Genomic DNA, 26,986 nt, shown 5'->3' with positions numbered 1-26,986 from the left:
GAATTTTCCAACAAATGGAAGGAAAACATCTTGAGGAAGAGTGCCTTTTCCTAATTAGTGCCAAGGCAGCAACTGCTTGGACCAGGCATGGCGGCCACCCTGAAATCGTGACCTACCCCATGCCTCTCTTAGCTGGTCTGCATTTAACTCACTTTCCTGCCACTGTATCAATGTGGTGAAATTTGCAAGGTTACTATTACATGTGACTACTTTAGACTTTTCCTTTAATATGGTTTTATTTAAAAATAAAAGCAATTGTGGTTAGAAGTCAGGAGAGCTGACATGACTACTTGGGAGCTAAATCAATCTTTACCGAAAACAATTTTTTACCCTTTATTTTTAAATACAGGGTCTTGTTATGTCATCCAGCCTGGGATGCAATGGTATGGTCACAGCTCACTGCAGCCTCGAACTCTTGAGCTCAAGTAATCCTCCTGCCTCAGCCTCGCAAGTAGTTGAGGCTACAGGCATGCACCACCACACCCGGCTATTTATTTATTTATTTTTGGTAAAGATGGGCTCTCCCTATGTTGCCCAGGTTGGTCTTGGACTCCTGGTCTCTAGGGAACCTCCCATCCTGGCCTCCCAAAGTGCTGGGATTACAGGTGTGAGCCACTGTGTCCAGCCAAATAAACAACTTTTATATATCTTGATTTCTTAAAATTTTGTAAATTCTGGGATTAGCATAGAAGCTTTTCTAGCGTGTATAAATGGCAGATGCTAATGACAAGGATGCTCTTTGTTTTGGAATATCTGCCCTTAATTTTTAGGATATTGACTTCATCAGTGAAGCCTTTCCCTTGCATCACCTTCTTGGCACTTCAGAACTTTCTGGCTCACAGTTCTTCCCCCTTTTATGAAAATGATCACTTACATACATGCGTGGGTACAGCAGCAGGATTCTCCCACAGAACCCTGACCAGGACTCACAGATCCAGGCTCAGACTCCTCCCCAGGCTGAAGTAATGAGCTTTTCTCTTTGACAAATTTGAAATATGGAACAGAGAGACTCAAAGCCTGACAGAGGACAGAGCTGAGTCACGTTAAAGGCAGCGAGCGCCGTACAGGAAAGAGCTGCTGAAAACTTAACTTTTCCTACTCAAGTCTTGAGTGTTCAAATCTTCCACTGATTCCTTGAGATACACCAGTATCCTTCATATGCATGTCTACATACAACTCCATACGTATATATCATCTGTTTAAAATAGACTTTATTTTTTGGAGCAGTTTTAGATTTACAGAAAAATTGAGAAGATAGTACAGAGAGGTCCCATGTGCTCTGCTCCTAGTTCCCCTTACTATAAACATATTGCTGTGGTGCATTTGTTATAATTAATGAATCAGCGCTGGTGCATTGTTAGCAACTAAAGTCCATACATTATTCACATTTTCTCAGATAGTTTTTTTTTTTTTTTTTTTTTTTTTTTTTTTTTTTTTAAAGACAGAGTCTTACTCTGTTGCCCAGGCTGGAGTGCAGTGGCACGATCTCAGCTCACTGCAGGTTCTGCCTCCTGGGTTCAAGCGATTCTTCTGCCTCAACCTCCTGAGTAGCTGGGATTACAGGCGTGCCACCATGCCCGGCTAATTTTTGTAATTTTAGTAGATATGGGGTTTCACCACGTTGGCCAGGCTGGTCTCGAATGTCTGACCTCAAGTGATCTACCTGCCTCGTCCTCCCAAAGTCCTCGGATTACAGGCGTGAGCCACCATGTCCGGCCACATTTTCTCAGTTTTTATGTGATATCCTTTTACTGTTTCAGGATCCCATCCAGGGTACCACATTACATTTACTTGTCATGTCTCTTTAAACTATGGCAGTCTCTCAGCTATGTCCATCTCAGACTTTCCTTGTTTCTGATTACCTTGGCAATTTTGAGGAGTACTGGTCAAGCCTATTGTAAAATGCCCCTTGATTGGCATTTGTCTGATGTTTTTCTCATGACTGGGGATAGGGGTTTAGGGGAGGAAGGCCATGCACACAGGCAACATGACTTCTCATCACTGTTGATGTTGACCTTGATCAGCTGGTTGAGATAGTGCTGGTCAGGTTTTTCCACTGTAAAGTTACTCTCCCCGCCCCACCTTTCTGTGTTATACTCTTGGAAGGAGGTCACTATGGGCAGCCACACTTAAGGGATGGGGAGGTATTCTTCACCTCTCTGAGGATGGAGTATTTACATAAATGATTTAAAATTCTTCTGCATGGGTGATTTGTCTCTTCTCTCAGCAACATACATATTTTTAATTTATATTACCTTGAAACAGTTCCTGTAGCTTTCAACAACTAAAAGAAGCCCTTAAAAACCATCCAGTTCAGGAGACGCAAACTCAAATGTCTGCAGTGGCCAGGAGGGAAGTGGGAGGATGAGTGAGGCCAGTGGGCAGGGTGCGCCACAGACTGCAAAGCACATGCCAGCTCGAAAAGGGGGCACAACGCTCTGCTTCAGGTAAACACTGCCACACGGAGGTGTGGGTCAACCTTCCCTCCCTCCCTCTCTTCCTTCCTTCCCTCCTTCCTCCCTCCTTCCCTCCCTCCTTCTTTCCCTCTCTTTCCTTCCTTCCTTTTTTCCTTTCTCCCTCTCTCCCTCCCCCCTCCTTCTTTCTTTTCCCTCCCTCCCTTCCTTCCTTTCTCCCTTCCTCCCTCCCTCCCTTCCTTCCTTCCATCCTTCCTTCCTTCCTTCCCTCCTTCTCTTTGTTTTTCTCTCTCTCTCTTTCTGTCTTTCTTTCACAGGGTCTCCAGGCTGTCACCCAGGCTGGAGTGCAGTTGTGCAATCACAGCTTGCTGCAGCCTTAAACTCCTGGGCTCAAGCAATCTTTCTGTCCCAGCCTACCAGGTAGCTGGTTCTACAGGTGTGTACCACCACACCTGGCTAATTTTTATATTTTTTGTAGATATTGGGTCTTGCTATGTTGCTCAGGGTGGCCTTAAACTCTCAGCCTCAAGAGATTCTCCTGCCTTGGCTTCCCAAAGTGCTGGGATTACAGGTGTGAGCCACTGTGTCCGGCCTTTTTTCTTAAAAATAGAAACTTGTGAGTTGAACTTTTCCAAGAAATCTCCTGATTTTGAAATGTTGGCAACAAATCAAAATTTCTACAAACTTTGTGCTCACCCTGAATAACTTCAGTTTGTAACTTCTTGGGTGGATTAATCACTGCACATAAATTATTAATAAGGAAATGGCCTCAGAAAAGTAAATGAGATGTCCAAGCTCACACCACTAGCTTTAGTGTCTAAGGTAGAATTGTCATTCAGTGTTCCAATCTTACTGAACATGCTTCTTCTTTGGAGATTCTTCAACACTTTGCGATTGTTCTCAAAATCGTTTGGACTTCATTCTAGATTCTCTGCCTTTAGTGAACATACGCGGAAGCTAGAACTCCTGCAACACCAGCTCTTTCATCAAGCCCACTCCAGGAGGCGGTGCCATTAATCCTATTCAGAAACTATCTGCCTTGTTTTCTTTTGTTTCCTGCTGCATTCTACAGTTCATTTGCTTGTATAATCCTTATGTTACACTGGAGATGGACAGGGCCTGAGGCAAATGCCTGTTTTGACAATGATTGCAAATGCACAAATCAGAATTCTGTGAACTCTGAGAGGCTATGGATTTTGGCCTAAACATGTTTGTATTCTTTCCCACCAATCCAGAACCCACCACACTACCTGGCACATAGTAGGTGCTCAGTAAATGTTTGTTGAATGAATGACAGTTATTAATGACTTAAGATGAAGTATCGTAATGCATAATAATATTGATAGAACCTAAGAAAAATCAAATAGTGTGGAAATTAGAATATTTAGCATTTGCTAACAGGAGCCAGCCATTCTAAACAGCATGGAAGCTCTTAGTTTACAAGGTTATTCCGTGCTAGGCACAGTGGCTCATGCCTGTAATCCCAGCATTTTGGGAGGCCAAGGCGGGAGGACTACTTGAGCCCAGGAGTTCAAGACCAGCCTGGGCAACATGGCAAAACCCTGTCTCTACCAAAAAAAAATAAAAAAAATAAAAAAAAAAAAATTAGCCAGGTATAGTGGCACACACCTGCAGTCCTAGCTACTTTGGAGGCTGAGGTGGGAAGATCAACAGAACCCAGGAAGTTCAGGCTGCGGTGAGCCAAGATTGTGCCACTGTACTCCAACCTGGGGGACCGAGCAGACCCTGTCTCAAAAAAAGTTATTATTTGGTTGTTTACAGAGCATAATTAGAGCCTTAAATTATAAATTTCATAAATCGTTCTTCTCTGCGGGGATATTAACCTCTTTAGTCAATTCTTCAGCTATATTATGTATATCTTACATTCTTAAATTTGTCACTATTTAGGATATCTCTGTCTTTTTGTTTCCTTTTTTTTTATTTTATCTTTCTGAGACAGAGTCTTGCTCTGTCGCCCAGTCTGGAGTGCAGTGGTGTAATCTAGGCTCACTGCAACATCTGCCTCCCAGGTTCAAGAGATTCTCCTGCCTCAGCTTCCTGAGTAGCTGGGATTACAGGTGTGTGTCACCACGCCCAGCTAATTTTTGTATTATTTGTAGAAACGGGGTTTCACCATGTTGATCAGGCTGGTCTCCAACTCCTGACCTCAAGTGATCTTCCTGCCTCGGCCTCCCAAAGTGCTGGGATTACAGGCATAAGCCATCAGACCCAGCCTGGCTTTATTTTTTTAATTGTAGAATTTGCACTCATATGTATCAGAGAGTTAACTATTAAGTTCCTTTGTTTTCTGCTCATATACCAGGGACAGGGAATTTTTGGATAAAGGTGCTAGACAGGAGAAAGCTGTGAGTTAAGAAAATAGACACAATTAAGTGAAAGAGTCCCATCTTCTAAAGTAACATCTTTGCTGGAAGTGAAGCCTGGGTCCTGGAAACATCCCCTCTGTGTGCACATCCTCAAACTGCCCCTCCTGCTGTGGGGGTGCTGTTTTCTATGTTGCTGTAGCTCATCCTTGCAAGTTTCCTAATCTTCAACGTGGAACAAGGAGTTACTTAGTTTTCAAGTGGCGAGATAAGGAAGCTTCTGCTTTCCAGGTCAGCACAAATTAATTAATGCTGGCATAGTTTCTAGGATAACATAAGTGGTGCAAGAGTCACTTTGCTTGCGATGCTCCCTTGGGAGATCAACATGGTAAGTACAAAGATGACTGAGCTTAATTAAATCTAAATTCTGAATGACTCATCTCACTATGTATTTTTTTCTCAACGTTTCCATCACTGGCCTTCTTTCTGAATATAAAATGCTTATTCCAATTATACGTGTTACAAAGTGTTCACGTATTTTGTTCTTAATGAGTATGGCTAAAAAGTGTTGAGACTGGTTTTTTTGGTACAAGGTAGAAGTGTTCTCAATTTATAATCATGCTGAGAGGTGAAGCCAGCTGGACTTCCTGGATCAACTTGGAGAACTTTTGTCTTACAGGAGGATTGTAAAACGCACCAATCAGCACCCTGTAGCTAGGATTGTAAAATGCACCAATTAGCGCTCTGTAGCTAGCAAGAGGATTGTAAAATGCACGAATCAGTGCTCTGTAAAACACACCAATCAGCACTCTGTAAAATGCACCAATCAGTGCTCTGTAAAACACAACCAATCAGCAGGAGTCTAAAAGTAGCCAATCGTGGGGAGGACTGAAAAAAGGGCACTCTGATAGGACAGAAACAGAACATGCGAGGGGACAAAAAAGGGAATAAAGGCTGGCCATCCCAGCCAGCAGCGACAATCAGCTCAGGTACCCTTTCACGCTGTGGAAGCTTTGTTCTTTCGCTCTTCACAATAAATCTTGCTGCTGCTCACTCTTTGTGTCCGTGCCATCTTTAAGAGCTGTTAATAAGGACCATCTCCATTCTTGAAGTCAGCCAGACCGTAAACCTGCTGGAAGGAACCAATTCTGGACACAATGCCAGAAAAAAAATTGATCTTTTTTTTAAAAAAGCTAAATGCAAGTTAAAAAATTATTTTATAATCCCAACTTCAAACACTATAGATAAAAGAGTATTTTAAAAGTATCCAAACTGGTTCAACTTAAAGCTTTCTAGACATGGGCAAGAGGGAGGACGGAGCATTAGTTGACATGAGAATCTCAGTGTTTGTGTGTGTGTGTGTGTGTGTGTGTGTATTAACACATCTATGCATTCTATTTAATTTTTTAATTTTTGTAGAGATGGGGTCTTGCTATGTTGCCCATGTTGGTCTTGAATTCTTGGGTTCAAGCAATCCTCCTACCTCAGCCTTCCAAATTGCTGGGATCACATGTATGAGCCACCATGCTCAGCTATATGTATATTTCAATCAAATGGACATATATATTACCGGACACAACTTGTTTGAATAATCAAAGACTAAATCACAAACAGGCAGAGGCTCCTCAGGTTAGCATACCAGCATTTACGTAATTATCAGTCTCTTTATTGTGTTTTATTTAAGAAGTTCTTGACTATGTTACTGTAACACATATGGTCACATACTATGCTGGGGACCACATATAAATTGGTATAGAGGTATTCATGAGGTCGCTAGCAATCCAACTTCAGACACCCACACATCATGCTGTCATTCACACCCGTATGCCTCAGAATTATTAGATCACTCTCAGTTTACATACAGAAGTCCTTGAGTATGCAGCCAATTGCAAACCACATGGAAAATCAATCTTGAAGGGTTGCCAAATAGAAAAAAATAAATATAATGGATCACAGTCACTGCTAATACTTTAGATAAATGTTTCTTGCTCAGGTACAACTGGTTGATGAAAACTCTTTCATTTTAAAATGAGTTCCAAATGAGTTAGTTCAGTAAATCTTCACTAGATTCTTGCTATGTCTCCAACCTGTAAGCCACTGGGGATCCCATAGTGAATAAGTCAAAGCCCCTGACATTGTGGGGACAGTTTTATTTATAAGCAAGATCAAACCTGTAATTTTAGCTAAGAGAAAAATATTTTAGGTTGATGCAAAATTAATTAAGGGTTTTGCCATTACTTTTAAATGGCAAAACCCGCAATTGCTTTTGCACCAACCAAATATATTCCCCACACTTATAGACTTAGAATTCCAATGAGTCTATCAGATCAGTGCAGGGTAAAGTGGTTTATAGCTTTTTCCCAAAAATACCTGAGGGTCCTCTACCATCACCAACAGGATCACTGCTGTAATGAGGTAGATCCAGGTGTGTGCATTTGGGGAGAGCCTGTTAAGAAGCATTGAATTAGCATCTCAGTGCTTGTATAATTTGAAAAGGCTCTTCAGGTAATTTTAATACTGTTGCAAATTAATGGTATAAGGAAATTAGTTTTTTCTTATGTTTGAAACTATTAATATGATTGTTCCTGCATATGCACATGTTTATGGTATTTTTAATGGTATATAATTGAAAGTTGCTGGATTCTGGGTGATTCGTGATGGTACCATGGTGGCAACGAGTTCGTGTGACAGCGCAACAGGAGGAGATGCAGGCATGAAGACAGAACATGGGAGAGTGGAGCAGGAACCTGAGCTGGGAAGAACTGGCTGTGTGTTAGGCCATTTTTGCACTACTTAAAGGAATACCTGAGACTGGATCATTTATAAAGAAAAGAGTCAGGCACAGTGGCTCACACCTGTAATCCCAGCACTTTGGGAGGCCGATGTGGGCTGCTCACCTGAGGCCAGGAGTTCGAGACCAGCCTGGCCAACATGGTGAAACCCCGTCTCTACCAAAAATACAACAATTAGCCGGGTGTGGTGGCAGGTGCCTGTAATCCTAGCTACTTGGGAGGCTGAGGTAGGAGAATTGCTTGAACCCAGGAGGCAGAGGTTGCAGTGAGCCGAGATTGTGCTACTGCACTCCAGCCTGGGTGACAGAGCAAGACTCCGTTTAAAAAAAAAAAAAAAAAAGGTTTAATTGGCATTGGCTCCCAGTTCTGCAGGCTGGATGAGCATGGCGCCAGCATCTGCTCAGTTTCTGGGGCGGCCTCCGGGAGCTTTTATTCATGGCAGAAGGGGAAAGGGGATCAGGCATATCATGTGATGACAGCTGGAGCCAACCCTGGAGCCAATCCCCAGGGAGGGGATGTGCCACACACTTTACTCAACCAGATCTCCAAAGAACGCACTGACTGTCAGAAGGATGGCACCAAGCCACGAGGGATCCGCCCCCACGACCCAAACACCTCCCACCAGGCCCCACCTCCAACACTGGGGACCACAATTCAATGTGAGATTTTCAGGGGAAAACATCCAAATGATATCAGGTTGTTAATGATAAAGTTCAACAGCCAAACACCATCAGAGACAAACCTGCAGTCTAACTTGGTTGGGTTTATGAGCTTGTAACAAGGGGGAGTGCTCCAAGGAACCCACAGAGGGTCTCACCAAGGGAAAAAGTAGCCTTCTTGTAGGAACTGGGAGAAGGAATTGGAAGGAAACAGTGTTGTGATAGACTGAAAGCAGAGCAAGGCTGTGAGTAGCATTTTTTTTTTTTTTTGAGATGGAGTCTCACTCTGTTGCCCAGGCTGGAGTAGAGTGGTGGGATCTTGGCTCACTGCAACCTCCACATCTCGGGTTCAAGCAATTCTCCTGCCTCAGCCTCCTGAGTAGCTGGGACTACAGGCACCTGCCACCACGCTCAGCTAATTTTTGTATTTTTAGTAGAGATGGGGTTTCACGATGTTGGCCGGGCTGGTCTTGAACTCCTGACCTCAGGTGATGTGAGTAGTATCTTCTTAACATTTAGTAATATTTTTATTAACATGAGTTCTGGTGTGACAGATTCAGAGTTCTGTTTCCTTGGAGACCATAAAGTTAAATGTGGAATGCTGGGTCCCCACATCTCTGAACTGAAGGCTGGAAATAAAGACTGCTTCCTTGGGTCAAGTGATCCTCAGGCTTGAATCATCCAGGCAAGAGTGGGTGTTCCATTCTCATTGATCATCAAATAGCAGTTTCTGACTAGTTTTAGAGTTTTCCAATTTTCTTAGTCCGTGTCCTTGGTGTTAATTAACAAGAGCAGTTTTTACAGATTCACATCAATATAGAAAAATGTAAAAAGAAAGTTTTGACTGAAGCAGGAAGAGACAATAGATGTGAAATTCTTTTTTGTTGTTGTTGTCTTTTTTTTTTTGAGACAGGGTCTCACTCTGTTGCCCAGGCTGGAGTGCAATGGCGTGATCATAGCTCACTGCAGCCTCAACCTCCTGGGCTTAAACAATCCTCCTGCCTCAGCCTCCTGAATAGCTGAGACTACAGGTGTGCACTACCACACCAAGATAATTAATAGGTGTGACATTCCAAAATAAGTTGTCAGAGCAAGAAGCAAATCTTAAAAGGAAATATCCTAGCCCCTTGGTGACTCTTAAAAGTGCCTCACCCAAAATAGGATCATAAAAGGGCAGAGGAAGTGGAGTTCAGGAAAGAATCTATGAAGATGTTTTCTCTGAAGAAAGCAATTCTGTTACTCCTGCTTCTTTGAGACCTTTCTCCTTAAACTCACTAGAGAGGCAGTGTCAGTGAGGCAGACCATGAAGGCAACTTGATTTGTGTCCCCTGGTATTTGGAGACAAATCTCAAGTGGAGAGGCTGAAGATACTGGCTTGAGGCAGCAGTGGGGCAGTGGTGGAGAGAGAGAACACTGAAGACCAGTCTGCACACAGCCAGCTGCACTTTTACCAACCATGGGCGTAAAGTATGGATGAATGTCTGAAGGACCAGATAACAGCTGTTTGTTAAGAGACAGCTGGGCTGAAGGAGTTTAAATCCTGCCTACAAGGATCACCTGGAGCAGCCTAGCGACCATTTCCCTTCTTCCCCTGCAACAGGAGACTATAAAGTGACTGGCAGGGAATGAGAAAGCGAGGGGAAGTGTTAGAGAAAATTGCATTGCTCAGGTCAAGAGAAGTGGAGTTGGATGTTTCAAGTACAGGTCTCTAAGAACCCAAGAAAAGACCCAAGAAGGAAGCGCACATTTTAGTCATTGTCCAGGCTTGGAGAGCAACCCCTGCTAGCAATGCACCAGTTAAGCATGAACTTGCTAGTCCTGGACTCTTCCCCCTTCTTTTTGCAACCTGAATTTGAAGGGGATTCTAGGGGGATAGAGAGAAGGATCCTTTCCCCCTTTTTGGAGTTCCATAGCTTGGCTGCATGGGACCCTTTCTGGGGAAGCAGAGGGAAAGTTTAACTGTGAATGAAGCTTGAAAGTGTTGATCAATGGCATTTACATTAAAATTAAAGCTGTATATTGTGATTTAAACTGACCAAATGATTTTTATTACCTGTGAGCAATCAGAAAAATTTCGGGATCACCCAAGTTTTCATCCAGGGGTGGGGACAGATGTCCTCATACGGAATGCCTGTGGAAGGGATGGTGGCAGATCGAGGTTTGCCATCTGCTTCCCTTCACGCCTCTGTCCTGCTTGTTCTGCAAGCTGGTCTCATCTGAGCCCAGAGCAGCAGGCTAGTTCACTGACACTCATAGATTTGGCAGGAGCATTTGCTCTTTGAATACATTGATGTCAGGAGGTACACTTCAGATAGGGAAACAGGAAATTACTAGAAGACCTGAACAAGAATGGCAACTTGAAACTGGAACACACAAGGGTACTGGGTGTCTGGAAGCCAACTGAAGTAGAAAGATTTCCAGAGAATGTGGGAAATTACCATCCAAGCCTTCGGCCTTGGCCTCTAGGTCTCCAGTTTACTATAAACAGCAGGTGAAGACTTTCAGTAACTAGAAAGGAAGCCTCATTGACTGGCGATTGAAAATGTCAGGGGTGCAATGAATGCGTGTCTGGTAATCTGCCCAGTGTGTCTTCTCTGGGAAACCTCTGCTCATAAACAGGGATGGGCCCTGGCAGCCATACTGGTCCCCTGCAGCCCCCATCATCTATGATTAGGGTTAGGGTTAGGCAGGTGATTTAGTCCTTGTGGGTGCAGCTCTGGAACATCATTTCTCTGACACTGGGACATAGGAGCCAGGGGCTGGTTATCAGAATAGGAGAATAGAGCACAGGTGTAGAGAGAGCACCTGCTATGGAAAAAAATTCCATTGAGTTCCTCCTGGCTTTTCAGGTCTGCGATCTGGGTCTTCCTGAGGACTAACTTATTTTTGCCTTTGGGTTCTATTATACATCTATCTAATCTATCAATCAACGATCTATTATCTATCTATCAACTATCTATTATCTATCATCTATCTATCAACTATCTATTATCTATCATCTCTCTCTCTCTCTCTATCTATCTATCATCTATTTTAGAGACAGGGTCTTACTCTGTTGCCCAGGCTGGAACGCAGTGGCAAAATCTCTGTTCACTGCAGCCTAGAACTCCTGGCCTCAAGCAATCCTCCCACCTCAGCCTCCCGAGTAGCTAGGACTACAGCTGCACACCACCAAACCTGGCTAATTTTTAAATTTTTTGTAAAGATGTCTTGCTATGTTGCTCAGGCTGGTGTTGATTTCCTGGCCTCAAGTAATCTTTCCACCTTGGCCTCCAAAGTTGTTGAGATTATGGGCATGGGCTACTGTATGCAGCCTCTTCTGTCTATCTAATGAATTTCTGTCCTCTATTAGGGTGAAGAGATAGCTTTTCAGTGGCTTTGAAGCATTGTGCCAAATATTTCAAAGATCACATTTTAAAATCTACTTTTTGATTTATTTAGTTGCTGCAAATTTTGACTTATCTGTCACTAATCAGCTGGATGTACTGAGATACTTTGACATTTCCTAATGTCTGGTGCTTTCTCTTTCTGGCCCTCCATAGTGAGGGCTGGATCTCTTCCCTTATAGGTATCTGCTAATGCTGGAGGCTCAACTGATAAAGTAAAGATAGCCATCCCAAGAAGCAGGCGGAAAGGCTGGGGCTAATAGAACAGATCTCTACTCCAGGGGCTTCAATTCTGCCCTAGTTCTGGTCAAATAGGATTAATACTGCTCACCGTTACTATCCTAAAAGGGCTGTCATGGTTGAAAGTGGGCATTTACTATTTTCAGTGTCTTTTGTTGCTGGAATAAAGGAGATGATAATATGAAACAAAAATCAGGTTGCTTCTCCTCATATTTTGCTCAGCTCCCAAGCATTCAGAATGTCGTTACTAATTAGACATTTGTTTCAACATTCTGGGGCCATCCAGGCTAGGCAATCTTGTGATGTGGGGAAAGTTGACTGGTTATGCAATGGCTTTGCATTAGATCCCCTGCTCCCTTGCAGGCGCTGAATGCTCTTCTGTTGTTCTCTGGATCTAGAACCCTGTCCCTTTTCTCTGGGATGGCTCCTACTGATGTTTCAGCTTATTCCTCATTTGCTGCAGGACAGTCTCCTTGGCCCCATAGTACTCTTGATTTCCCCATCACCTGTGCAGTAATAGTTTCTCTATAGATCCACCAGTCTTGTCTTATTCATTGTTATATCCACAGATCTAACCTATTTCTAGTAAACAGTAGGTTCTTCCTAGATCCATTCCTGATGATTGGCTTAATGAATGAATGCTCATTTTACTGGTGACTCTGAAAAAGGAAAAAAAAAAATAATGATTTTACTCCACTATCAGCAACTCGATGTTGCCCGTCAGGAATCCTTGTAACAAAATACAAAGTTACCATTGCCTACGAGGTCCTCACCTCCTTCTCCAACCTGTCTAGTAGCACTCTCCTTATGCACCATGATACCCATGCTGGCTTTCTCTCTGTTCCTGCTATACATCACTTTTCTTCCTACTTCAAGTCCTTTGTTCTTGCTATTTTATCTGCCCTGGAGTTTTGCTAAGTTGGTGTTTTCTTATTTAGGTGGTGCCTCAAATCTTAGAGCATTTCTCTTAGATCATTTCTCCTTAAAGCATTTTTCTCCTTTCCCAAAATTAAGTGTGTCTCCCATCCCTCTGGTCACTGTTTTCTTCTTTGCCCTGATCCCGGTCTGGAAGTTTATCTTTTTATTGGATCATTGTCCATCTTCTGATAAAAACAGCTGCAAGTCTGTCTTGTTCAAGGCTATACTCTGAGTGCTTAGTAGAAAGCCTCGTTCATTGCAGTATCTAGTATTTGATGATTAATATTGATTACGTTTGATGAGTAAATGAATAAAAGAATAATCTTAGACATACATTATTTAATCCCAGTGAAAGAATGTTAGTGATGGAATTTCAGGTGTTATTGTAGAAGAAACTTTTGAAGGGTATTCCCTACAGTTTGTTCATACTAGGCTAAGTTCCTCTTCTTTTCCTTACACAATGTAAAAATATTAGATCTCAAAACTATTTGCTCAAAGTACTTACTTTAGGACACGTATTTTTAGACTACAGTTTAGAATTACAGTTATTATTAGAAAGGTTTGGTAAAAACTCTTTTTGTTAGGCAATAAGGTTATTCTGTCCTCCAAAGACCTTTACTTTATTCTCAGGAAGTAAGAGAGAAAAAAGAATTTCTTGTCTTCTTTCTATCAGGTGTTTTGCCCTTACTTCTCTTTAAGTTTATGTTTACCTTAACATTCCTTTCCTTCCTCAGGTTTGCTTTTTGTCTATCTCCATTTTTCACTATTACGTAATTCACGGAGTTGCTGGGGGGAAGTGCTTAATTTCAAATAGCCTGTTTTAGAACTTTGCGAGAATGACAAGAACAAACAGAATGTTAAGGCAGCTAGAGAGAGTTAAGTGAGAGTGGTCCCTAGGTGAGAAATGCTTCTTGCCTTCTAGGCTGACACCAGTTCTGGGGGATGTGTTCTGAGAGCTCATATTAACTGCAGGTCATTGATCCTTATCTCAATCCCCTTCCTCTCCCTTCAGCTTTCCATTCAAAGTCTCTATCACATCTTGAAGTGTTGTCACATTATTTTTTTTCTGATGATTCCCTCCATCAGCTGAGCTTTCCAATTTATATTACCTGATTTTTTTTTGTCTTCTGCTTTTTACTACCCCTTTTTCTAAAGCTTTATTGATTGTGTACTTTGGATTCTAATTCTTCCTATAAGAGTCTTCCTGTAATTCTGTTTGCAGTGTAGTGCTGTCCACATTATGTGTTGGTTACATGATAGGAAGGAGTATGGGGGCACCTCGGTCACATATGTAAAGTTCTTTAAGAGAGCTGAAGGGCGCTGATACCAGTTCATGTTTTTTCGGGGTAGCCCTCAGATATTAAGCATGTTTACTGTATTTTCTTCTATTGTGAAAGAATCAGTTCTCTGGATTTCCTTAAAGTTTGTCTTTACCATTCTCCGCACCCTACTCATTTTTCTATTTAAGAATTTTTTTTTCTAATCATGTAGTACATGTTCAATATGGAACACAAAAAGGTAATAAGAAAAAGTCACCTACAGTGTCGCCAAAGGTGAAAACACCTTATGTCTTTTTTCGTGCATAACAATATCCCTCTCAATCTTATGCAGCATTTTTAAACCTAGGAGACTTGTCTGAATCCAAAGGAAGTTAAAGATTACGTTATTCACCAAGTTCATACTGAAATCAGAGAATCGCAGCGGCTTAAGAAAACTCGCATCTGGCGAATGAACCTGCGTATCCGGGGTTCTCCTCAGGGAGGTTGCTCGTCCATGAAACACACTCCAGTCTGCAGCCACCTGGGAGTGGGAACCAAGGGCGAGCGAACCGGGCGGGCAGGGGTGGAACTTGCGGGGACTGCGGGTATGAGGAGGAGCTACAGAGCTGTCACCAATCAGAGCCCAGCTTTGTTTTCTCTTGCCGACCAATGAGGGAGTTCTGCTGGAGAGGCGTCTTCAAGTCTGAGACGCCTATCGCCTTCGCAGCCTATCAGCAGGCCCCTCTTACCCGCGGGCGGTGCAGCCCCGCCCCGCCCCTCCAACCGCGGTCCCGCCCCTCCGAGGGTGGGGGCCGTGTTGGTTACTAGCCGGGCTGGAGGCGGGGGCCGGGCTCCCACTGGGCTCGTGCGTTCTGCGCCCGCCGCGGCGGTGCCGAGCCCGCTGGCTCCCGATTGTCCTCTGCGGCGGTGGCGGTCGCTGCCTCCTTGCCTCCGGGCCCGGGGCTGCAGGGGCCAGAGCGAGTGCGCCTCCTGCCCGCGGACCGCGGCAGCCCAGAGCAGGTAATGGGGCGCCTCTGGGGAGCGCCTGTCGGAGCCCAGGGCTAGGCTCGGGCGGTGGGGTCGGCCCCCGAAGCTGCTCCCTGCGCCGGCGACCGGGCCGAGCGGTGCCGCGGTCCTCCGGAGCCTCCTGCCGGCCTCTAGGCGCCTCAGCCTGGGAGCCCGCGGCGGGCACCTTGTGAGGAGGTGGGGGCGGGGCCGGGGCAGGGGCGGGGCCGCCTCGGGCGGGACCCTGAGGACCCCTGGAGACCCCTGTTGACGCGCGGGACTCCGGGCGGGGGCGGCGGCGGGGCAGACCCAGAGCGGGGAGAACCGACAGGTGGAGGAAAAACTGCGGAGTTGAGTCAGAGTCCGGCTCCCCGGGGAAAAGAACCGACTGAAAGGGAGCGATAAGCTGGCTGGCTTCTTTTTTTTCTTTCCCTAAGCCAGAAAGGCGTCTTCACTTGGGTCGTGTTAATTACATGTTTTCTGAGAACAGGCGTTTGGCCGTGTAATCTACACGATAGCATTATTTATTTACTTATTTGCTATTTAAAAAATTAAAAGCAGCATTTAGCGTGAATCTATTTGGGGGCTTTTTCTTAAGTGACAGGTAGACCCAGCCGAGTAACTCAGCTTTGTCTGGGCTGAAGTGGGGAGCGGTGAGGTAGGAATGAGGGGGAGGAGTGTTCGTGAGGAATGCCTGTGCAGGTTTGAAAGGATTGTGGGGGTGGGACCTTGTTTCTGTCACTGTGCCATGGGTGGGAGTAGAATTGTGATTTTTTTCTTTTTCTAATTTTTAAAAGCAATATTCACATTTAAAAAAGGGGGGGCTCTCTAAAAACAGTCTCTGTACTCGAGGCTTTGGGGATGCACCTGCTAGTCAGGCAGTAATAGTTTGCAGGTAAATCCTGGGCTATTAATTACGTAATTTGATTTACTTATAAAGAAGTATCTTGAATTGTTGCTGCCTTTCCTTTGACTTGCTCAATATATTGCTTGTTTACAAGTGAATTGATGAAGGTCACTGAGTTTTAGCGGTAATGTCACAGCGATGGCCCTTGGAGAGTTTTCTATGCTCAGGTTCACTCTGGTTCTATAAAAACAGTATTTCCATTTAATCGTGAAGCTCATAGCACTCTATCAATTATATAGTATGCCATCCTCCTACTCTTCTGAGGCAGGCTGTGCATAGCATGTCCATTTTACAGGTATGTCAACTGAAAGCCCTAGAAATGAAAGGAATCCTGCCCCACTTTACTCCTACTTTATTTTATACCTATAATGGATTTAATCCAAAATCTGGGTAAGATTCCCGCCATCAAGCCAACTTCTGCATACCAATTTGATCCCGTATACACAGGTCAGAGGTGGAGATGGTTATTTTCAAGTAAAGAAATATTATCTGCGAGGTTTTTCTTTCCATTCAGGTTGCTTAGCTAGTTTGAATTTCAGGTGAAAGGTAATTTTCCACACAGGCAAAACAAACAAAAGTTAGGAATGCTGTGTGAAAATCTCTATTTTAAATTTTGGGAAGCTTTCCAAATTAGAGAACCTTATTTGTGTTTGCATCTCTAGCTCAGCATTGAATTTCGGTACCTTTTTTTGAATTGAATAGAAATAATTGATATGCAGAAGGAAAATACTAATGAAGTGTAATGCATTTTGATCATGACTTATGACTTTGTTTCGGGAAGTGTTTACTGTAAATTTATAGACGGATTGAAGAATAATTTCTTAATTAGAATAACTTGACCAAAGGAGTTTGGGCATTAGTGTGGGACAGGCTGAAATGGGTAGTTGGGAGTAGCCGCTTGTATGATGTTAAGGCTTAGGGAATTCTAGAGAATCGTTAGGTTTTGTTAAATTTACTAGTTATCAGGAACATGAAAATGTCTTATGGATTACTGAATGGAACTCTTTTTTTTTTTTTTTCTGAGGTGGAGTCTCACTCTGTTGTCCAGGCTGGAGTGCTGTGGCTCACTGTGATCTCTGCCTCCCTGGTTCAAGTGATTCTCCTGCCTCAGCCTCTTGAGTAGCTGGGACTACAGGCGCATGCCACCACGCCCAGCTATTTTTTTTTTTTTAATATTTTTGTAGAGATGGGGTTTCACTATGTTGGCCAGGCTGGTCTCGAACTCCTGACCTCAAGTGATCTGCCTGCCTTGGCCTCCCAAAGTGCTGGGATTACAGGCGTGAGCCATTGCACCCAGCCTGAATGTAACTGTTCTAATCATGAAGTTATCTCTTGTTTTGTGGCTAATACCTCTGTTTCACATGTACATTTTAACATATTCATGTAACATATAAGGCAACTCTTCTTACACAAGGCTGTCACTCTAGCCCAGCATTTATTTACTTATTTATGTTTTAGTGGCTTTATTTAACTTTTACTCTCCTGTCAAAATTTCTAGCACCCAAGCAAAAATTTCCATAAAGGAACTTTTATCATCTGTTGATTATACAGAAAATGAATCATTTATTCTCATAAGCCCAGCCCTCTTGCATTGTGGGACACTGGAAAGATATTTTGGCTGTTTGTAAAGTATTTGCTTGTATTCTTACCTGAAGCTTTGACTTCTCCCCCTCCCCCAATGGTTTTCAGAGTTTCTGTGACTTTTTTCTTTAAATTAATTATGACACTACCTGACTTCCACTAGATGGTGCACTGGGGGGCGCTTACTGGAGATTTCAAACAGATTTTTGTTTTTCCTTGTTATAAACATTTCACTGACAAAGATACAAAGGTACTGCAGCTGTTTCTCTCCTAATTGCAATTCAGACAAAATTGTAATGAATGACTTAAGTCTTGAGTTTTGGCCAGGCATGGTGGCTCACGCCTGTAATCCCAGCACTTTGGGAGGCCGAGGCGGGCGGATCACAAGGTCAGGAGATTGAGACCATCCTGGCTAACACGGTGAAACCCTGTCTCTACTAAAAAATAGAAAAAATTAGCCGGGCGTGGTGGTGGGCGCCTGTAATCCCAGCTACTCGGGAGGCTGAGGCAGGAGAATTGGCCTGAACCCAAGAGGCAGAGCTTGCAGTAAGCTGAGATCGTGCCACTGCACTCCAGCCTGGGCCACAGAGCGAGACTCCGTCTCAAAAAAAAAAAAAAAAAGTCTTGAATTTTGTTAAATGAGATACATTCGGAAGGAAAGGGTATTCCTTCATTTTGAATTTAAAGTGAAGGAAATTGTTAGTCAGGCTTGCTCTCTGAAGATACTGTGTTTTTTACAAACTGAAGGTTCGTTGGCAACCCTGCAAGTCGATTGGTGCTATTTTTCCAATAGTGTATGTTCATTTTGTGTGTCTCTGTCATATTTTGGTAATTCTCACAATATTGCAAACTTTTCATTGTTATTCTGTCTGTTATGGTGATCTCTGGTCAGTGATCTTTGATGTTACGATTCTAATTGTTTTGGGGCTCCATGAACTGCACCTATATAATATGGTGAACTTAACTGATAAATGTTACATATGTTCTGATATCTCCACCAACTGGCCATTCCCCAACTCTCTTCCTCTCCCCAGGCCTCCCTATTCCCTGAGACACAACAATATTGAAATTAGGCCAATTAATAACTCTACATTGGCATCTAAGTATTCAAGTGAATGGAGAGTCGCGTGTCTCCCACTTTAAATCAAAAAGCTACAAATGAGTGAGCTTAGTGAGGAGGTCATGACAAAAGCTGAAACAGGCCAAAAGCTAGGCCTCTTGCACCAAACAAGCGAGCTCTGAATGCAAAGGAAAGGTTCTTGAAAGAAACTAAAAGTGCTACTCTGCTGAACGTCCAAATGATAAGAAAGTGAAACAGCCTTATTGCTAATATAGAGAAGGTTTTAGTGGTCTGGATAGAAGATCAGACCAGCCACAACATTCCCTTAAGCCAGCAGAGCAAAACCCTCTCTTCAATTCGATGAAGGCTGAGAGAGGTAAGGAAGTTACAGAAGAAAAGTTGGAAGCTAGAAGAGGTTGGTTCATGAGGTTTAAGGAAAGAAGCTGCTTCCCTAATGTAAAAGTGCAAGGTGAAGCAGCAAATGCTGATATAGAAGCTGTAGCATGTTATCCAGAATATCTAGCTAAGATCACTGATGAAGGTGGCTACACTGAACAACAGATTTTCAGTGTAGATGAAACAGCCTTATATTGGAAGAAGATGCCGTCTCGGACTTTCTTAGCTAGAAGGAAGTCAGTGCTTCACCTCAAAGGCCAGGCTGACTCTTTTGTTTGGAGCTAGTGCAGCTGGTGACTTTAAGTTGAAGCCACTGCTCATCTACCATTCCAAAAATTGTTAAGCGTCATGCAAAATCTACTCTGCCTGTGCTCTATAAATGGAGCGACAAAGCCTGGATGACAGTACATCTGTTTATGGCGTGGTTTACTGAATCTGTTAAGCTCACTGTCGAGACCCACTGCTCAGAAGAAAGGGTACCATTGAACAAGTGCTGCTCATTGACAATGCACCTGGTCACCCAAGAGCTCTGATGGAGATGTACAAGGAAATTAATGTTTTCATACCTGCTAACACAACATCCACTCTGTACCCATGGATCTAGGAGTCATTTCAACTTTCAAGAGTTATTATTTAAGAAGCACATCTTGTAAAGCTATAGCTGCCATAGATAGTGATTGTTCTGATGGATCTTGGCTAAGTAAATTGAAAACCTGGAAAGGATTCACAATTCTAGATGCCATTAAGGGCATTTGTGATTCAAAGGAGGAGGTCAAAATGTCACCATTAACAGGAATTTAGAAGAAGTTGATTCCAGCTCTCATGGATGACTTTGAGGGGTTCAAGACTTCAGTGGAAGAAGTACCTGCAGATGTGGTGGAAATAGTATACTGAGAACTAGAATTAGAAGTAGACCCTGAAAATATGACTGAATTGCTGCAATCTTATTATCAAACTCGAATGGATGAAGAGTTGCTTCTTCTGAATGAGCAAAGAAAGTGGCTTCTTGAGAGAGAGTCTATTCTTGGTGAAGATGCTGTGAGCATTGTTGAAATGACAATGAACGATTTACAATATTCTGTAAACTTGGTTAATAAAGCAGTGGCAGGGTATGATAGGATTGACTTCAATTGTGAATGAGGTTCTACTGTGGGTGAAATGCTACCAAAAGAGAGATCTTTTCTGAAAGGCAGAGTGAGTTGATGTGGCAAACTTCATTTTTTTTATTTTTTTGAGACGGAGTCTCGCTCTGTTGCCCAGGCTGGAGTGCAATGGCACGATCTTGGCTCACTGCAACCTCCGCCTCCCAGGTTTAAGAGATTCTCCTGTCTCAGCCTCCTGAGTAGCTGGGATTACAGGTGCACACTGCCACAGCTGGCTAATTTTTTATATTTTAGTAGAGATGGGGTTTCACTCTGTTGACCAGGCTGGTCTTGAACTCCTGAGCTCACGCAGTCCACCCACCTCAGCCTCCCAAAGTGTTAGGATTACAGGCGTGAGCCACAGCGCCCGGCCTTATTGTTTTCTTATTTTAAGAAATTGCCACAGCCATCCATCTTTCAGCAGCCAGCACCTTGTTCAGTCAGCAGCCATCAACATCAAGGCAAAATCCTCCACCAGCAAAAAGATTATGACTCCCTGAAGGCTCGGATGATCACTAGCATTTTAAAAAAATTATAAAGCATTTTAAAATTAAGAGCTAATGCTATTGCCAACATAATAGACTACAGTATACTGTAAATATAACTTCTATATGCACTTGGAAAGCAGAAACATTTCTGTTACCTTATTGCAGTGTTAGTTTTACTAAGGTGGTCTGGAATGGAACATGTGATATCTTCAAGGTATGCCTACGATTTCAGAAATAACCTCTCCTATTGAACCCTCTGATTCTTCCTGTGTTCAGAAACCCAGACCAAAGTGTAGATTTATTGGTCTTTATTTATGAGTAGTTGAATTTTTTTAATGTCTTGTGTTTTGTTTAAATTTTATGTAAACTGCGGCTTAGCTCTTTCAGCATAGTCTTATGCTTTGCTTTCTTAGATTACTGAGTCTTTAAAAGAACTGGTAAAGTGCATATGTGTGGAAAGATTATTTGCTACCTACTATGAACAGATACTTAAGTAAAAAAACAAAAACAAAAAAACCCAAGATGTTTTTTCCAGGCATATAAATGTTTTTTTCTTGAAGAGGCATTTAGTCTTTCTATTTACTAGAACATTATCAGCTTGCTTTACTTATGAAAGAGAGGAGACCATTCTTTTCTCTGTGAATTTAGGAGCTATTTGTCAGGCTTGTTTATTACTGATTGGGTTGCTTGTTACTGATTGTTAGAGAAGGGAGATGAAAATACATAGCAGTTGCGATATCCATTTTGGGTATAGAACTGGCAATGTTAGTGGAGATTAAAGACTAGCTGGTACGACTGCATTTTGCAAGATATTTTGAAGACAACTTTGGACTTTGAAAATGCAGGATAGGAATCTAAGTGAGAAAGTCTTTCAGTGGTTGGGGTGTGTGTGTGTTCACTTCAGTTGCACTGAACTGTGGGTGGGGAGGAGAGCAATAGTAAATTGTTTCTTACCAGAACACTGCCAGTTCTTAGGGGATTTGGTGGAGATTTGGGAGAGAGAAAATAAATAGGATTCAGCCCTTCTAGGAAGGTCATTCTTGGCAGTGCCTTCAGCCCTTAGGAGAGCGTGGGCATGGAAAAGGTGGGTGGTTGTAAGTAGCCAGGCAGATTAAAAGGCTGCTTCCTAGAGTTTTCTTTACCTTTGATGACCTTAATCAGGTCATTAAGCATTTTAAGACAGGTTTATAGCTCTCCTGTGGTCCAAGCTTGGACTAAGTACTCCTTAATCTTCAATTTTATGTTTTAAATTTTTGGAATAAGTAGAAACCTGAAATTTATAAAATTAATGACTTGAGTATGCGAGTGAATAGCTTCAGAGAGTTATTTGGCTTATGGAAGATTTCAGATTATGGTAGGTGCTTGAATATACTTATTTCTCATACTCTTTCTTCCATCCCTTTAACAACAAAAAAAGGCCTTATTAGAAATAGGCAAACTTGAATACACATAGAGCTGTACTGCTCAAATTGAGTACTTGAGTTGGGGAGAAAAGTCTCCCGGTCTAGATATAGCTTTGAAAAGAGAAGGATCAGGTAGGATGCCGTACACGGCAGGTGTGTGCAGGGACAGGGATAACGTTAACCCCTTTTGCTGTGAATATTGTCAGAGGGTCTGATGTGTAATTAGGCATTCCTTAGCTTCACTCCTGATAAAAACACACTCTTGGACAGTTTCTCTGTATGTGCACTTAAAGCAGTTTGAATCTTGTTAATCAAATATTTCTCGGGGTTGTAACTTCTTTTTTTGGCATTGGGAAGACTGTTGAAGTCATGTTGTAAAAATTTGGAGTTGAGCCTGGGATCAAAATTTGGAGTTATGGCCCAAGATTTATCAAGCTTCTGCTGATATTCAAAATATTGTTTTTTTCTCTTCCTATTATGGCTTCTGATTACTTCTGAAGAGTGAGTTCAGACCTCTGTGCTCTAACGCTCATCAGAGTACCCTTTTTGTACATAGTATAATCAGGATAGAGATTAGGCATTTTGTCAAGTTTGGGAGAAAGAAGTTGAGCAGTGAGGAAATGAACTAACACTGTTTTCGTTTCTTCATAGTCATTTTAAATAGGATACAAATTTTATATTTTAGAAGTTTCAAAATGGTAGTAATTTCACCTTTCACATTATGCTTAGTATGAAAAATTTCTACCAGTGGTTCTCAAACTTTAGCATACCTTGGGATCACACGGAGGGCTTGTGAAACCTTAGGCAGCTGCCTTCCAGCCCCAGAATTTCTGATCAGTCGGTCTGGGAGGGGAGGTCCTGGCGATTTGCATTTCTAATAAGTTCTAAGGCCATGTGCTACAGCCACTGCAGGGGCCAGCCACTCTAGGGGGAAACGTAAGTGTAGTGGTTAACACTTTGAAAGACCTGGGTTTGAATCTCTGCTCTGCTGCTTTCTAGTACTTTGACTTTAGGCAAGTTTCTTAACCTCTGTTGTTCCGTCTCTAAAGTGGAAATAATATAGTATTTTGTTGTGAATGTAAGTGGGCTCCAATGTGTAGAAGCTCAGGGAACAGGGCCTTGCAGATTGCAAGCATGCAATAAATGTTTTCTTTTATCCATAAAAACAGTACGTATATAAAATAAATAGGATCCTGCATCTTATACAATTGAAGCAAAGACAGAAAATTTAATACTTAACCTCATTTCCTGGCACTGTGCTGGGGAAAAAATATGATTACTCAATTACTTTTTAAGGAGTGAAGGAAAAGTTTGTGGATCCTAGTAATTTTCCAGAAACATTTTTTAGAGGCATAGCACATTCATATCGATGCTGCCTCCTCCCTCTTCCCCTTCAAAAAGTTTGCATTCTTTAATCACCGTATGTTGGACTCTCACAATAACCCTTATAGTTTACATTTTATATAACAGGTATTTTGAAGGTTGCTTCTGGGAGCTGAATGACAGGAAGTACCTGAAAGTCATCTTTAGAACACACTGTCGCCTGTACTATGACAACTTTGTATTTGATGACCTTGAACGCAGTTCTTCTCGAGACGGAGTCTTGCTCTGTCCCCCAGGCTGGAGTGCAGTGGTGTGATCTCAGCTCACTGCAGGTTCCACCTCCCGGCTTCACGCCATTCTCCTGCCTCAGCCTCCAGTTTAAAACATATTTAAACTGGACTACAGGCACCCGGCTAATTTTTTTGTATTTTTAGTAGAGACAGGGTTTCACTGTGTTAGCCAGGATTGTCTGGATCTCCTGATCTCATGATCCGCCCGCCTCGGCCTCCCAAAGTGCTGGTATTACAGGCGTGAGCCACCACGCCCAGCCCTTGAACGCAATTCTTTGGGATCTCATCTCTCGGCTTGCTGAATGCCTGGTTCATTTTCTTTCTGCAGACCTGCGGGATCTCACCTCTGGCTATCCTTTCATTAGTGAAACCCTCTTTCCATCACTTTCTGTCACTATCACTGTCTTACTTGTTAGCTGTTAACACTCTCTTATCATTATCTTATTTGTTTCCTTTTTATTGTTTCCTTCACTAGGACATAAACCCTATGAGGGTAAGGGCTTGATCTTTTGCTACTCGGTCGCTAGGATGGGATGCAGTTCCTGGTATGTAGAGACTGAATACCTGCTGGTTGGGTGAAGGGACCTGTGACGCGGAGCTGCCCCGCTCCGCTCCCTCCCCAGCTCAGGGGCTCGGACTGGAGTTAGCACTCACTTCATGGCACACTGTCATGATTGGTCCGTGTAGAGTCTCCCACCTTATTTTATTGTATCTTTCCCCTTCATCACCTATCCCCATTCATGTTCTTCCTTGCCCCCAGGGGACCCTCTCTCTGGCATATGCATAATTCCCTTAAGTACGACCAGATTGTTATCTCATTGACACTTTCACCAGCTGTTGCTCCCTGCATTCTTGCTGGCATGTGGCATTTTCTGACCTTATAATTTTTTCCAATCTGATGCAACAGATGGAGCAATCCAGCACAAAGTGATATGTTATTGTTCTTATTTGCAGCTATCTGATTACTAATGCAGTGGAATATCCTATCGTATACTGTGTGTGTTTTTCCTCGGTTGAGTTCGCCATTTATATATCCTTTGCCTCTTTTTCTGTTAGCTTTTCATATCTGTTTCCCATTTTTCTGCCCTAATTTATAGCAGTTTTCTTCTTTTTTCAGTCTCTCGTTGGATTTTAAATGGTATACGCATCTTTTGTTTTTCACCTGTCAGATTTTTTCTTTGAAATCTTTCATTAAACGGAATCTTTAATTTTGTTATGATCCAACCTTTTTTTTTTTTTTTTAACCTTCTGGGTCTTGTGTAGGAAATATTTCTCCATTCCTAGTTAACAAAGTTATGTTTCTGTATTTTCTTCTATGGCAAACGAATTTTCCCAAATCTCATTTACTAAATAACCTAGTGGTTTGTGATGCTACCTGTATCATATGTCAAGATCCACACACTCGTATATATGCACACAGAGACACAGACACACACATTCTCTCTCTCTCACCTTTTTAGGCTCCCTGCTCTGTTCTGATCAATTTGTCTGTTTCTGTTCTAATTTCACAGTGGATTTTGCTTTTATTTTTATTGCTACAACTTGTTTATATATTTTGATATCTAGAAGAATGACTCCCTCCTGTGTTATTTTAAAAACATATTTAAACTGGTAGTTTTCAACCATGGCTTTATATTAGAATTTGCTAGGTAGCTTTTAAAAAAATATGTCCCATTGACCACAGATGAACTGAATTATAATCTCTAGAGAGTGGAGTCTAGCAATTGTATTTTTTAAAATCTCCTCTGGTGACACTGATCTATATCCCGAGTGGAAACCACTTATCAGTGGTATTAATGTTTTATTCAATGGAGGTCAGATTTTTTTTTTTTTTCCGTAATGATCTTGTCTTCTTTGTTACAGTAAGAGACCCTAGTTCAGCTTCTGTTTCTACTGTGAATGCCATTTTTTCTTCTGTTGTATTTTCTATTGTTTATTTCCCCTGGTGTAGGGGAATCCTACATATATCGACAACTATGCATCACTTAACAGGGATATGTTCTGAGAAATGTGTCATTAGGTGATTTCGTCATTGTGTGAACATCGCAGACTGCACTTACACAAATGTAGATAACACAGCCTACTACACACCTAGGTTATATGGTATAGCCCGTTGCTCCTAGGCTACAAACCTGTGCAGCAGGTTACTGTCCTGAATACTGTAGGCAACTGGAACATAATGGTATTTGTATATCTAAACATCTGTAAACATAGAAAAAGTATAGTAAAAATATGGTAAAAAAGATTAAACATGGTCCACCTGCATGGGACACGTTACATGTGTCTGGACTGGAAGTTGCTCTGGGTGAGTCAGTGAGTGGGTGGTGAGTGAATGTGAAGGCCTAGGGCATGACTGTACACTCACTACTGTAGACGTTATAAGCACTATGTCTAGGCTACACTATGTTCATTTAAAAAGTGTTTTTTCTTCAGTAATAAACAAAGCTTAGCTTAACTTTTTTGCCTGATAAACTTATAAATGGTTTTTAACTTTTGACTCTTTTGTAATAACACAGCTTCAAACACAAGCACATTTTATAGTGTACAAATATATTTTCTTTTATTAAAAAAATTTTTTAAAATGTAAAACTAAGACACAAACACACACTTTAGCCTAGGCCTACACAGGGTCAGGATCATCAGTATTACTGTCTTTATTTAATTTTTTTTTTTGAGACAGTGTCTCTCTCTGTCTCTGTCGCCCAGGCTGGAGTGCAGTGGTGCGATCTTTGGCTCACTGCAACCTCTGCCCCACTGGGTTCAAGGGATTCTCGTGCCTCAGACTCCCAGGCAGCTGGGATTACAGGCATGTGCTACCACACCTGGCTAATTTTTCTATTTTTAGTATAGACGGCGTTTGCCATGTTGTCCAGGCTGGTCTTAATCTCCTGGCCTCAAGTGATCCACCCGCCTCAGCCTCCCAAAGTGCTGGGATTACAGGCGTGAGCCACCGTACCCTGCCAATATCAGTCTTAATCCCTAGTTAATGTTTCTAGCTGTCATCCTATCCAAAGGAGCTACTTTTCCTGGTCTTGCCAGCATCAGTGGTTATAGCAGTTGCTGTATTTTGCGTTACCTGGGAGTCCATTTTTCTTTACATTATTGCATGTTTGGCATTTGCTAGTACATGTTAGTAGATGTTCACTAAATTTATATATGTAGCTGTTCATGATAATATTCTAATATCCTGAAATACTAGAAACATCCTAAACTGTGCAGCAGTAGGCATTTATTCTTCTTCTCCATGGACATTGTTAATATATGGTGGCAAAAGTTTACAAAATCGTGTCATCAGGATAATCCTAATTTTGTAACAAGAGAATAAGTTAATTTTCATGTACAACTCTATATTGTCCATGTACTGTTAATTCATATCTGTATGAGTGTGAATGTTCAAAT

General features: G+C 42.3%; 1 protein-coding gene and 1 long non-coding RNA gene across 9 annotated transcripts in view, besides 1 other annotated feature; one reads left to right on the top strand and one right to left on the bottom strand.

Annotated features, from left to right (window-relative positions):
- MPP7 (MAGUK p55 scaffold protein 7) overlaps positions 1-26,986 on the top strand; it is a 284,211-nt gene that overhangs the window by 17,331 nt on the left and 239,894 nt on the right. For 5 of the 6 annotated variants that reach the window (NR_134518.2, NR_134517.2, XM_011519338.3 and 2 more), the window contains exon 1: positions 14,809-15,012. The exons of the other annotated variant lie outside the window; for it this stretch is intronic. The gene's annotated coding sequence lies outside the window, so the exon portion shown is untranslated. Of the gene's footprint in view, positions 1-14,808; positions 15,013-26,986 lie in introns of those variants that run through there. 6 annotated transcript variants of the gene reach the window in all.
- On the bottom strand, positions 11,602-14,704 carry MPP7-DT (MPP7 divergent transcript). Of its 3 annotated transcripts, none has more exons than XR_930772.3 (2): positions 13,444-14,704; positions 11,602-12,474 (listed from the first exon to the last, which is right to left on the bottom strand). It is a non-coding gene; the product is annotated as an MPP7 divergent transcript (long non-coding RNA). The 3 variants fall into 3 exon arrangements; XR_930771.3 differs by having other exon boundaries at positions 14,274-14,704; XR_930770.3 differs by having other exon boundaries at positions 14,405-14,704.
- Positions 14,623-15,262: a silencer, noted in NCBI's record as "silent region_2249". NCBI's record gives its function as "represses an Ori minimal core promoter by ATAC-STARR-seq in GM12878 lymphoblastoid cells {active_cell/tissue: GM12878}" and the evidence as "EXISTENCE:reporter gene assay evidence [ECO:0000049][PMID:35858748]".

This window comes from Homo sapiens, chromosome 10, assembly GCF_000001405.40.
Source record: "Homo sapiens chromosome 10, GRCh38.p14 Primary Assembly".
NCBI lineage: Eukaryota > Metazoa > Chordata > Mammalia > Primates > Hominidae > Homo > Homo sapiens.
Note: the sequence above shows the minus strand (reverse complement) of the source record. Positions and strands in the feature narration are given on the sequence as shown.